Source organism: Homo sapiens, chromosome 7 (genome assembly GCF_000001405.40).
Source record: "Homo sapiens chromosome 7, GRCh38.p14 Primary Assembly".
Classification (NCBI taxonomy): domain Eukaryota; kingdom Metazoa; phylum Chordata; class Mammalia; order Primates; family Hominidae; genus Homo; species Homo sapiens.
In genome coordinates, this window is record NC_000007.14 from 107,182,707 (window position 1) to 107,196,701 (window position 13,995).

The following is a 13,995-nucleotide window of genomic DNA, read 5'->3' on the forward strand; positions in this document are numbered from 1 at the left end:
TTTAAGTCATTAGAATTAAGCTCCTTATCTAATGATCAAAGACTTATTTCACTCACTACCATGATTTCATATTTTGAGAATTAGATAAAGGTGATAAAGAGAACCATAGAGTAAAAAAATTTGTAAATGTTTAAAATAAATTAGACCATGAAATACTTTTACTATACATTTCTACATATAGAAATGAAAATTGTATTTCTCTAAGGAAGCAGAGTTGTAATCAAGATTATATTTTAAATTTTATCAACCTTTAGTTGGGTTCCTTTTGGTCTAGGTTTATTTCTTCCATAGTTTATGTGGCCTTACATTATTTGCCTGTTTGCTAATTCTAAAATTTGCTAATATTAAAATCTTAAACTTACAAAAGTGGGTTCCCATTGGTAAAAATCACTGTTTCATATATCCAGACAGAGTTTAAGAAAATGAGTGGTTGTGCTATGAAATTACGGAAGCTTCCAGCTAATATGCCTAGGGAGACCTAAGTGGAAAACACTTCATTATTTATCCCTGAAAAGAAATGGATAAATATGACAGTTTATAAGGGAGAGAAATGCCCATATTTGCACACCTGTGAGTGGAAAACGATAGACCAGAGTTTTATACTAGGTAATGTAGGAATAACTGTAAATTTTGTTAGTGCTCTTGAGTGTAATGCATTGCTAAAGAATAAACTTATTAGGTATGAAATCTCACTTTTCTTGTAACCCATTAAGTTGTGCTGCTTTTCTTACATTTAGCAGGATATTGATCTTGACTAGAGCAAATTGAATTTAATTAACTTCAGTTTAATTCCGTGTTCATTTCCACAGGAAAGAAAACTTCCTTTCAGAGTTGTTATTTCCTTTATAGTCCTAGTTTTCATTGTAATCTTAATAGTCAAAAAGCTAAAAATTCTTTTATTTATTTATTTTTAAAAAAAAACCTGATTTAACTATTGGATTTTTTTTTTCTTTCTCTAGAGATACTTTTTTTTCACTTTTTACAGCAGAGTCATAGGATTAATAATAACAGTTTATGGAAAGTGAGTAAACCCTTCAGAAGAAAATCAGTGTAAATAAAAACATAAGACATAAGGAAAGGAGTATCTCCCTGAGGATGTATTATTCTGTCCAGCATTTTGAGTAATGCTCTGTTGTCTGGCCTACCTCCTAACACTGTCTGCTCATGCAGCTTATTGTTGAGTGTTAAACTGTGTTACTGAGCTTTGATATCTGAAGTCTATAGTTAAGGAGTTGAGGACAGGTAAAAATTTATATTACCCCTGAATAGAGAGAGAGATGAAGAAATCAATGCTGTTAGTGTTTGGACGTGTTTAGCATGTTAATTTTCACAGAGTATTTAGGCCATATACATTTTAGAATATCACATTGTTCCCTTCATTTTTATTTATTTTTACTTTTTGTTACTTCTGTTTTAAATGGTTAAACAGAAGAACTGATAAAACTCACTTTTTAAAATTAGGGAGTCAGGAATGAACAAAAGGAATATTTAGCAGTTTGGCCATTCTCTGATACTTCATATATATCTAAATGTGTAATAACAGGATGGGCAGTTTTTGGGCAAAAGATGAAACATTCAGCATATAATTTGAAATCAAAAATTGGAGAGTATGCTACAATGCATGGAAATCTGAGGGCCTTTCGATTTAAGGAGTGATGTGAACATGAAAGTATAGATCCTTATGTAAAAGTAATTTCTGGAAAGGTAAAATGAAAAATGTTAATGAGGATAAGGTAGAAATTGAAGGGCTAATACAAATTCTCAGGGAATAAGGGAAAAATTGGAAAGATGTCCTTTCTCTCTTTTTTGTTTTTGTTTTTTTGAGACGGAGTCTTGCTCTGTCGCCCAGGCTCGAGTGCAGTGGTGCAATCTCGGCTCACTGCAAGCTCCGCCTTCCGGGTTCACGCCATTCTCCTGCCTCAGCCTCCCGAGTAGCTGGGACTGCAGGCACCCACCACCATGCCTGGCTGGTTTTTTGTATTTTAAGTAGAGATGGGGTTTCACTGTGTTAGCCAGGATGGTCTCCATCTCCTGACCTCGTGATCCGCTTGCCTTGGCCTCCCAAAGTGCTGGGTGGGATTACAGGCATGAGCCACTGCACCCGGCCCTTCCTCTCCTTTTTAAAGAGTATTAGTACAGACATGCATAAACTTTTTCTGTTAAGGACCAGATCTCTATTTGGCATCTCAGACAATTATCCTGATTTGGGACCTTACCTTCAGATGGTTTTCCCTCCTCCACCTGGCTGTCTTCCTCTCTGCTTCCTTTCCAGACTGCTGAGTCCATACACATCATTCATCATCCTCTATAGGCTTGTTTCTTTCTGTTACCCCACCCATGAATATCTGGTCTGTTTGTGAGGGAAGGATCTGGGTATGCTCCTGGGAGCTCCATATACTCTAAAGGGAGCATTGTCTGGTAAAAGAGACTTTTGAGGGGAAGAAAAGAGGGCAAGGGATAAAGTTTTTTTTTTAAGGTGATCTTTGAGGAGAAAAAATAACTAGACCTTATATGTAGTTGCTTTTCAGCAAGTTTGTATTAGAAAACAAGAAATAGTGTCCAGTTACAAGGAGGGTGGATAGGCTGCTCTCTGCTATAAAAAGTGTAAGCATTTTTGCTTAAGGTAGTTCTTGTATCTGCCCAGTGATATGTGGTTGGTAGATAAAGAGTTCAGAGTTGGTTACACTAAGCTTAAATGCTGTCTTCATACTGAGACTTACTGAGTACATCAAAGTAGAAGAAAGAAATGGATAGGACGCCCTGCATTAGAGGGGGTATTATCATTCACAAACGAAATATACACATGTATATGTATTGATAGAAAAATGAATGGGATAAATAAATGAAACCATAGTCGTAGTTTAAAATATATTGTCAAATCTGAAAAAAACGATGTCTAAAATGTGTGAGGAGGGTTTGGATAAGGAGTTAAGGAATATAATTATAAAATGAAATCTTGCTGTCTTTACTAGTGTTTACCATAAATGTGTTCAATGTAATAACATTGGCGTTTTAAATATGAAGTTCTTTCATTAATAGGAAAGATCTACTTTAAGGACCTATGCTTATGGTTGAAACTGTTGCTTTATTTTAGATCATCTCCTGTACACATCATAGCCACTAGCAAAAGTTTACATTCCTATGCACGCCCTCCACCAGTGTCCTCTTCTTCGAAGAGTGAACCAGCCTTCCCTCATCACCATTGGAAGGAGGAAACACCAGTAAGACACGAAAGGGTAAGTTTATTTATGAGGTTAAACTTTTACAAAGTTTGTACAACAGTTGAAGTACATTAACATTCCTCATAGGAAGTAGTCTCACTGTTCTGTTAGTGATCTGGATTTGATTTTATATACAGCTCTGCTATGTGTTAGGAAAGCTTATTATTAATGGGAATGTGCGTATAACTAAAGCTTCCAAAAACTTTGTTTTGTGTGTGTCTTTTTTTTCTTTTTTTTTCTTTTTTTTTTTTTTTTAGCAAATTCTCCCACAGCCTGACAACCCTCAGTTTTTGAAGGCATTATATTTTCCCTAAGGTTAGAATTACTAAGTTATCCACCTATAAGCATGGGCCTAAAGACGTGGGATGAAAACAGATATTAAAAGGTATATTTTAAAAACAAATAAAAAAGTTGATAATATTTTTCTCCATAGGCAAATAGTGAGTCAGAATCTGGCATTTTCTGCATGTCCTCCCTGTCAGATGATGATGATTTGGGATGGTGCAATTCCTGGCCTTCAACTGTCTGGCACTGTTTTTTGAAAGGTAAAACAAACAAACAAACAAAAACCTTGAATTTTCCACAGCTTACTTGTCTAGTACAGTCACGTGTCTAATACGTGTTTTCTACCTAAACCTTAGGCACACGACTGTGCTTTCATAAGGGAAGCAATAAGGAATGGCAAGATGTTGAAGATTTTGCTAGAGCTGAAGGCTGTGATAATGAGGAAGATCTTCAAATGGGCATTCACAAGGTTGATTTAAAATTCTTAAAAAATTTTTCAAAATCTTTCCAAATGAAACAAGATTTATTGTTAATCTACAGAAATATCCTCCATTCACTTTGATATTTAAATGACATCGTACATTTTAGGTAGAGCATTTTTATGACCACTCATTGCTTAGTCTGATGGGGAGGAGCAATGATTTTAGGTTTGCCTTTCTAACATGCTTTCTTGGATGGGAAATAGTATATTTCTTGGTGCTTCTTCGTGTTTTATACACTTTACAATGGGGAAAACTGGTATTAAAAATATGTAATGAGGTCGGGCGCAGTGGCTCATGCCTGTAATCCCAGCACTTTGGGAGGCTGAGGCGGGTGGATCACGAGGTCAGGAGATCGCGACCATCCTGGCTAACGCGGTGAAACCCCACCTCTACTAAAAATACAAAAAAATTAGCTGGGCGTGGTGGTGGGCGCCTGTAGTCCCAACTACTTGGGAGGCTGAGGCAGGAGAATGGTGTGAACCCAGGAGGCAGAGCTTGCAGTGAGCCAAGATTGCGCCACTGCACTCTAGCCTGGCAACACAGTGAGACTCTGTCTCAAAAAATATATATATATTTATATGTAATGAATAAATAAACTAACCAAAGCCTTGCCTTAGGTAATCTACAAAGTGATTAATTCCCCTGTAGATTATTGAAAGCCAATTATATTAAGTTACTTTATATAAGTTGTTTCATATTAAGTTACTAAAACTAGCATTTTCTAAGTCGATGAGCAAAAGCAGTAGCGAGCAATATTAGGATAAAGTTGACACCTTTCACTTTGAAATTTTTAATTTCTCCATCTCTCCTGTAGGCAAGAAAATGGGCATGTGAAGTGTGCTTGTACAAATTCTTGTTTTGATCCTGCTATGTCTCACTATTAAGTCTCTTGAGAAAAATTGTCCTGTCTTGGCTGCCTTCAGTTTCGTCCCCTTGCTTTACTCTTCACTTTAGTGAAGTTCACAATAGTCTAACTTTGGCCTCTACTACTCTACAAAAATTGTCTCAAAGGTTACTAGCTTTATTCTGATTTCTAGGAAGAGAGACGTCGTTTGTTCTGTTTGACATCTGTACAACATTTGACACATTGGGTTAGTTCCTGACATTGTCTTCCCTTGATTTGTGTAGCATGGCAGCATCCTGATTCTCAGTCTTTTAGGCCTGGTACTTGACTGCCCGCAGTGCTGAATATTAGACAAGATTTTGCCCCCTTCACTTTCTTCACCAGTTCCTCTCTCCTGATAATGTCAGCAGCACCTCCATCATGTCCTGTGGAATGCACTCTGGACTTGGAGTCAGGAAACCTGGGCTCTCTTTATAGCTTCTCCAGCAATTATCTGTGTTACTGATCTTAGGCAGATTGTTAACCCCTCTGAGTATTGGCTTCCTGATCTGAAAAATGGGATTGGATTAGTTTTAAGGTCTCCTGCAGCCCTGAGAATGGGAAGATTTTGTAATTTCGTTATTTGCCAATCTATGTCTATAGCCTTCACCTGCACATTTCCAGCTGCATGTTAGACATCTCTGCATGAATATCAGTCAGTTCTTTGAACTAAGCTTAGTGTGACCAAAACTGCCCTTACCTTTTTCTTCCTCTTCTTGGCTTACTTTCCTCCTATTCTTTCAAAGTTGTTATTATCATCCTTCTTGATTACCAGATTCAAAACCATGAAGTTGTCTTTTACTATTCTATTTCTTCCCTTTATTTATATTCATTTGATTCTAATTCTGTAAAGATTTTTAAGTCATCCTCTCTTATTCATGACCTTGTTCATGCGTTAGCGTAATTATGATTGGATACTATAGCAAGCTTTTGGCGTGTTTGTCTCCTTTGTTTTTCTGTGAATGTAAGGGTAAGGATCATGTTTGTTAGTGTTTGTATTTTCAGATCCTACCATGTGGCATGTGTTAAATGCTCAATATTCATTGAATTTAAATTTTTCTGGTTCTATTACTATTGCACTTGTCAATTCAGGTCTATAATAGGTGTCTCTCATTATATCCTCAGGTAATTGAATATGAGATCTTTTCTTCTGTAGAGTCTTTTCTTATTTACCATCATCTTAAAAATTGACAGTCATGCTGATAAAAACACTTTGATTGATTTCCCAATACCTTCTAAGCAAAAATTGTCAGTACTTTGCCTGTCTTTAAGAGGCCTTTACTAACTGGCCTCTCCTTATTAGCTTTATTTGCCCCAAATCTGAACTCACCTTGTATTTTTAGCAAATACTCAGCACTCCCCAAAGTTATTGTTAATTACAAATTTCTTGGTGCAAGGCATCTTTCTAAATTGCATTCTTCTTTTAAATCTCAGTTCCAGTTGGAATTGAAAATCCTCCTTAATCTCTCTTTTGGTATTAATAACTCTTTATTAAACTGCATCACCATTATTTATACTTGAGTGTAAGTGCTTATTCCAGTCTAGTTATTTATATATGTGTCTTTCTTCACTACCGGGTTTGAAAGCTCTTTAATGGCAGGGATCCTGTCTTGGTTATTTTTACCTTTTCCACAAAGTCTTACATGTAATGGGAACTTCACAGTGTTTTGAATTGAACATTTCCAATTCATTCACGCTATGCATATATTTTCAGGGCTATGGTTCTGATGGTCTAAAGTTGTTATCACATGAAGAAAGTGTATCATTTGGCGAGTCTGTACTGAAGTTGACTTTTGATCCTGGTACAGTAGAAGATGGTTTACTTACCGTAGAGTGTAAGCTGGACCACCCTTTCTATGTTAAAAATAAAGGTAGGGCTTGAATTGCATTTGTAGTAACTTTTTTTAAACAAAGCTTCTTAAATCTGTAATTATGTCTGTAGCTTTGATGATTAAGAAAAAATTTGAGGGGAAAACGTCTTTCAAACTAAATAAAAAACTACCATAGGGAATGCTTATAATAATACCTAATGGTGCGTAAGTATCTTAGCAGTCAGGTGGAACTTTATTTCCTGTATGAGAAATTTTTAGATTCATGTAGCATAGTATAATAAGCTTTCTATTATCTTGGTATAGTTTGGGTAATGTAGTGATCTAGTAATCACATTTTCATTAAGAGTTACCAAATATGATATAAACCTGAGTCACTCTTCAGAGCCTTATTACAGTAACACCATGTTAAAGATGATTTTATAATTCAGAGACTATTTCATGGTCTCAGTCATTTATCACTTATTGTCATTGTAGACTGATGGAAGTGCTCATTGTCATTGTAGACGGATGGAAGTGCTGATTGATAGAGGAGCTCTATATATAATAAAATGCTGAACAATAAGCTAGTTTTGGAGGGCTTTTACATTGCTGAAAGGAAATACTTATCTAGTACTTTATTGTAAAGATACATGACTTGTGTTAGAGAATCTCTTGAGACTTAGCAATAACATTTTATTTTTAAGATATAGAAATGATATGTCTGTTCTAAAGTAGGGTGCTTTCTGTGAGTCCTCATCCTTTATGCAACATTGTTTAACTTTAGGTTGGTCATCATTTTATCCAAGCTTGACTGTGGTACAGCATGGCATTCCATGTTGTGAAGTTCATATTGGCGATGTATGTCTACCTCCTGGACACCCCGATGCCATTAATTTTGATGATTCAGGTGTTTTTGATACATTTAAAAGGTAATATTGGATTAATTCTTTGTTTTATTTTCCTCTTAAAGTTTGCCCTTCATTTCCCTAATGATGGTTAAGTCAGATATTTAGGAAGTTCAGTCTTTAAAGATTTGAGAATTATAAAAGAATTATTAAGAGGAAAGTATGACATGAAAACATATTAGGTAATTAAAGTATAATAGTTACCAGAGAGTTTTGCGTGTAGTTGTCATATAGGAAAATTGAGTTTATAAAACATTTAGGATTAGATTAGGAAGAATATCACATGTTACATGACCAAGAGTTTAATGGTTCAGCTTTGATAGTTACATTTAAAAAGTTGTGATATCTGGCCAGTTGTTCTTAAACAGCTTATAAATCTCTTGTGTTTTTTGTAGTTAACTGTATTTTTCTTGATATAATAGTTAACTGTATCTTTGTTTCATACTCATTTTGACCAAGGGCATTAGTTGCATGGTTTAACAAATAGTAGAAAATAGCCTAAACTTCACATCTAGAAAGGCTTAGAGAGGGAAGTGGTTATTCCTGAGATCACGTTGCTAGTAAGTGGCAGAAAAGGACAAGAACCCATGTGTCCTGACTCCAGAAGGTTGGCCAGCTATCTTCATTTATATGGGACTTTCCTGGTTTTTGCACTGAAAGTCTAGCTTTCAGGAAACCCCTCAGTCCTAGACAAACTGGAACAATTGGCCACCTTGCTCCTAGAAGGAACCCAGAGAAAGTCTGTGTGTAGGTATCTGGGATTTAAAGACTCATTCTTTCTTTAAGATAATTATCAAATCCATAGGCATGTACTGGCACTAAGTAGAGAATTCTCAAGAGTCCCTGCTGGCCTGTAGATTTTATTTCATTCAGTTTAATTAGTATGTTTTATATATCATGAGGATGAGTGAAACTATTATTAAAAAAGCAAATTGCATAGGGCCTGACACAAGCCACATGCTCGATAAATGTCTACAAGCTTATGCTCTTAATGCTGTTTGATTACATCCCTCATATACACTCTTTTTTGAAAAACTAGAAAAATGAGTCAAAATTTTAAGGACTGATACTTAGGATATATAGATTAATGATAACTCCTATGTTTTGGTGAGACTGTAACCTGATAGAAAAATTTTGGAAGATAATTTGGCTTTATCTTGTAAAGGTGAGTATTAGCAGTTTCATTCCTCTTTTATATATATTCTAGAGAAGTAAATTCTTGTAGTCATGCTCAAGGAGATGGTGCAAGTAAGTTTGTAGCTGTATTACTCATGATAGCAAAAATGTGGAAACAGTATCAATACTTATTAACTGGAGAGTGAATCCATGAAGTGTGATATAATCATATAGTGGAATTAGTGGAAAATGAATGAACCTTAGCTACAAACTTTAAAACATGGATCAATTTTTAAAACAATGTTAAGTAAAAATAAGTCTTGGAAATATACAGTATGAGTCTATTTTATGGAATCATGTTCCTTAGAAATAAATAAAATAACCCTTATATATGGTTTGTAATACACATTATATAATTATGTCAGGGGTCCCTAAAGACTAGCCCCCAGGTTTGATGATTTGCTCAGAGAATTCACAAGACTCTGCACATAGTTGTGCTCATGGCTGTGACTTATTATGGCAAAAAAATACTAATACAAAGCAAAATTGGGAAAGGGAAAAGATGTGGGGTGAAGTCTGAGGGAAGCCAGGCTTCCAGGGATCCTCTCCCAGTGGAATTAAGGGCATGTTTTATTCCCCAGCAGTGGGCTGTGACAACATATATGAAATGTCGTCTCCCAGGGAAGCTTGTTAGGCGCACTTGGCACCTAGGGTTTTTATTGAGAGCAGTCACGTAGGTTTCTTCTGCTTGGCACATAACAAAATCCAAACTTCCAAAAGGAAAGCAGGCATTCAGAGTAAACTGTGTTGTTTGTATATCCAGTCTAGGCACAGTAAACTACTCTTCTCAGTTGTGGGAATGATGGGACCCCTCAAAATCCAAGTTCTAGAAATTAGTCAAGGGTCAACCTTGTAAGTAGACTTTTGAAAGGATAGCAGTCATTTCTGCATAATGAAACACTGTATCTTATATATTAAGAAAGATATTAATAAAACTAATGCTACTGTAGTATTTATATGTTGTATTTATGAGTAATATTTTCATAATAAAATTATTGAAAAAGAATGATTAACATTCAGGAGAGTGGTTATTTCTGGGGTGGCAAATATGGAACTTAGTGATACTGGAAATATTATTCTTAATTTGGATTGTGGGTTCACTCATTTATTTGTATGCTTCATAACTTACAAATATATGTAAAGTTTACATATTATTACATAGCACCAAACTTTTTTAAAGTAAAAGGGAAAACTTGCCTGCCTAATTCCTGCTTTTCTGAGATAGCAAATTCTTACCATTTGATCTCACTGAATAATAATCACTCCCAAGATGATGTTAGTCATTGGTCTCATTTTACTGTTGAGTGACTTCAATATAACAGCAGGAGCACCCACCCTGCAAAGGAGTGGAAATGGGTGGTATCATCATGGAGAAACCAGGAAAAAATTGAGAAGCTGAAAGTGACTTTATTTTCATTGTGGATTAGACTGGTTAAGGGAGATGATGCCTGGCCTAGGGGGAGGGCAAGAAGAGAAAGAGGTAAGAAGAGGAAAAAGTCCAAGTTGGACTGCTCCAAGCAAATTCTCGGGTCATGGTTTACAGAGGACATGTGAGTAGTTTCTAGCTCAGGAAGAATCAGAAGTCAGCAATCAGTTGATGAGCTCTCATACATAATTCAAGGTTCTGTTGTAAGTAGCCCATTCTGAAACATTGAGAATTGAGGCCAACCTTCTAGGCCTCAGGCGGGTTTAAAACAGTCAGTTTTGACTCTTTGAAGTTGACATTTCTGTTCAGGTAATATGATTTAACAAACTTGAGTGCCTACTATATATATAATGTTAATTTATTTAATATTAATTACCCTATTTGTAGATTATATCCTCATTTTACAGAGAGAAGTAAAGTTGAGAGAGGTTAAGGAACATGCCCAAAACAAAGGCAGTTAGTATCAGAATTAGGATTCAAGCCCATATCTTGTAAAGATTCCAAATTTTGAGTTCTCTAGCTACTCACCTAAGATACTTCTACAATAATAGATACTCCTAATGGCAAAATACACTGTGCCAGCCTCTGCCCTGTGTCTTATGTTTATTGTTCTTTTTGGCACCACTGCATAGCATAGATTTATTTTACAGATAAGTAAACTGAGGCTACAGGGTTTATTTAACTTGCCCAAGGTCATATTACTAGCTGGAATTTGCACTCAGTTAAAATTTTCCATTATTATGTTATTCAGAATTGATTAAAAAATGAGTTAAGAATGGCCATACCTCTTTGCTTCCAATCTAGAGAAGGAAATGGATTAGTAAATGTATACAGTAGATGTACACGCTGATTGAGAGGCAGTGTAGCCTGATAGGAACATGAGCTCGATCTGGACTGCCTGGATTCAAATCCTGGCTCTGCAATTGATTTGCTATGGAAGCTTGAGTAAATTAATATTTCTGTGGCTCCTTTAAAAAAATCTGTAGAATGGGGATAATATTGGAAGGATTAAATAAGTTAATATATGTGACATGGTTAATAGGCACTACATTATTGTGGAGTTTGCCATTAAGACTAATGATTAGACAGTGAAGTGAGAATGGGCATTCTAAGCTTAAGGAATGGCATGTACACAAAGTAGAGCTGTGAAAGGCACATTTGGGTACAGGTGCTTTAGTGAAGAGAATGAATGCTTACCTAAGGTAGTATAGCAAAAGATGAAGCTGTTTTTAAAGATACTCTATGTCATTACTGCTGCAGTAATGTTAGTCATTGAATTTTGTGACTGAATATTTAAAACTGATTTAAGTTGTATCCATAATGGAAGTAGATGATAAGTTATATTTGTGCCACTAGATGGTGGAGTTTTCAAATTTTAGTAATTAGCTTACCCAGTATCTTTTAGTATTTTAAATTGTAATCATTTTCCATCAGTAGAGATGGGTAATTTTGTGTCAGTGCTGAAGTTTGCTATTTTTCTAAATTATGTATGGGAGGGGCTGAAGATATCTTACAAAAACTGCAAACCTAGAAAGCAGACATTGTTTTCCTGACGTAATACTGATTGCTAAGCATTCATGAGGTAATTTTGGAGTCATAGTTTAAGTACATTTATTTCATGCAATACTTTCAGAAAAAAGACATTGTGTGCTTGATAAGTGGTAGAAGTCATTTACTGTGTGTAGTCAGTGGCATGGACCGCCCTCATTCCTTTGGCTGTTTCCATCTATCTTTAGAATTTTGTAATCTCATGTTTTACCTTTAGGTAGATGGTATTCCTGTAGCTAATATTAAACTATTTTGATGTATTACCGGAATTTCTGTTTCAGGGAAGGAAGTAGGAGCTAGGTTCAGATTAGAAGCTGAATAAAAGGTTTCCTGCCAAGAAGATAGAAAAGTACTATAGGCAGAAAGAGAGTTAATGCTGGAACAAAAGAGAATTCTTTAGCTTATTTCCATGTCTATGTAAACTGAACATACAGAACAAAATGTGGCCTTTCCTGACAAAGGCAGGTTTTTACAATGAACTTTATGTTATTAGGCTATGTTATAGGTCATGGATGGCCTTTCGGGAGACTGATGTATGTATGGCTCTCTTTACCTAAACAAATGACCCAGATTACTGGGCATTTTAAGTTCCTTTATTTGTTTTTTATTTTTTTTGAGACGGAGTCTCACTCTGTTGCCCAGTTGGAGTGCAGTGCTGTGATCTGCCTCCCTGGTTCAAGCGATTCTCCTGCCTCAGTCACCCGAATAGCTGGGATTACAGGCATGTGCTGCCACGCCTAGCTGATTTTTGTATTTTTGGTAGAGATGGGGTTTCACCATGTTGCCCAGGCTGGTCTTAAACTCCTGACCTCAGGTGATCCACCCACCTCGGCCTCCCAAACTGTTGGGATTACAGGCGTGAGCCACCAGGCCTGTCCTTAAGTTCCTTTAGCCACATTTAACAGCTTTTCACTGCCTTTCCCAACCATTTGTTTTCTATAGTAGTCCTTAGGCCTGGTATGTTGCCTGCCACTCCATTTTAATTTTCTAGGTCTGGGTGCCTATAGGCCAAGAAACCATATTGTCACATTTGTCCAGAAATGAATTTAAAGTAAGAATAAGTGGGTTGTGTAGGATTTGGAGGAGTTACTTGCTATGAATAAAGTATGCTGATTATAACATTCCTTTGGGGGGTTCAAAGTCTTTTTTAAGCTTTTGTATTATCTGCAGAGGTTTTTTAAAAAAATTAATTTCAGTTAGCACATATACAGATTTCATTTTATAAGCAACTATCAGTGGCAAAAGTTGTTAGTGTTGGTAACATGATATAGGGGGAAATGCACTGAAATTTCCAATCAGATGTTTTCTTTTTTTTTTTTTTAACCTGCTTTTTAGAAATCAGAGAATTCAAAATTGAATTAAAATATTATTATTTTTTTTAATTTTATAGCTATGACTTCACACCTATGGATTCTTCTGCAGTTTATGTGTTAAGTAGTATGGCTCGCCAGCGTCGTGCATCTTTGTCTTGTGGAGGACCTGGTGGTCAAGACTTTGCAAGATCTGGATTCAGTAAAAACTGTGGCTCACCTGGATCATCACAGCTCTCTTCCAATTCTTTGTATGCTAAAGCTGTCAAAAACCACAGCTCAGGGACTGTGAGTGCCACTTCTCCTAATAAGTGCAAAAGACCAATGAATGCCTTCATGCTTTTTGCCAAAAAATACAGAGTTGAATATACTCAGATGTATCCAGGGAAAGATAACAGGTAAAAATAGTGATAATTCTGATTACAATAAATGAGTAACACTTCAATACGGTTCATGGTAACTGGAATAGTTAAGTAAACTTATTCTTTAATAGCTTTTATTCAACTCTTAGGTTGACTTTTTTGTTTGTTTTTGAGACGGAGTCTCGCTGTGTCACCCAAGCTGGAGTCCAGTGGTACGATCTCAGCTCACTGCAACCTCCGCCTTCCAGGTTCAAGTGATTATCCTGCCTCAGCCTCTCAAGTAGCTGAGACTACAGGCGCCCACCACCATACCTGGCTAATTTTTTGTATTTTTAGTAGAGACAGGGTTTCACCATGTTGGCCAGGCTGATCTCGAACTCCTGACCTCGTGATCCACCCACCTTGGCCTCCTAAAGTGCCGTGATTACAGGCGTGAGCCACTGTGCCCGGCCAGGTTGACTTTAAAGTAAAAAGTTTAAGTGGAATTTTTAGGGTTATATGTAATTATTTTATAATACATAGACAATTAGGTTATCTACCTTAGTAGTAAGGATCTACCTTTTATTATTTGTGCCATAGCCCAGGC

General features: G+C 36.1%; 1 protein-coding gene across 7 annotated transcripts in view; it reads left to right on the forward strand.

The window, feature by feature from the left end:
- Window positions 1-13,995, forward strand: part of HBP1 (HMG-box transcription factor 1) — a 33,520-nt gene that overhangs the window by 13,704 nt on the left and 5,821 nt on the right. For 6 of the 7 annotated variants that reach the window (NM_001439013.1, NM_012257.4, NM_001439012.1 and 3 more), the window contains 6 exons: window positions 3,095-3,236; window positions 3,655-3,766; window positions 3,863-3,975; window positions 6,586-6,742; window positions 7,467-7,611; window positions 13,128-13,445. In NM_001439013.1, coding sequence (NP_001425942.1) covers window positions 3,095-3,236; window positions 3,655-3,766; window positions 3,863-3,975; window positions 6,586-6,742; window positions 7,467-7,611; window positions 13,128-13,445 — 987 coding nt within the window. Of the gene's footprint in view, window positions 1-3,094; window positions 3,237-3,654; window positions 3,767-3,862; window positions 3,976-6,585; window positions 6,743-7,466; window positions 7,612-13,127; window positions 13,446-13,995 lie in introns of those variants that run through there. The other variant, XM_047420190.1, reaches the window with a different exon arrangement.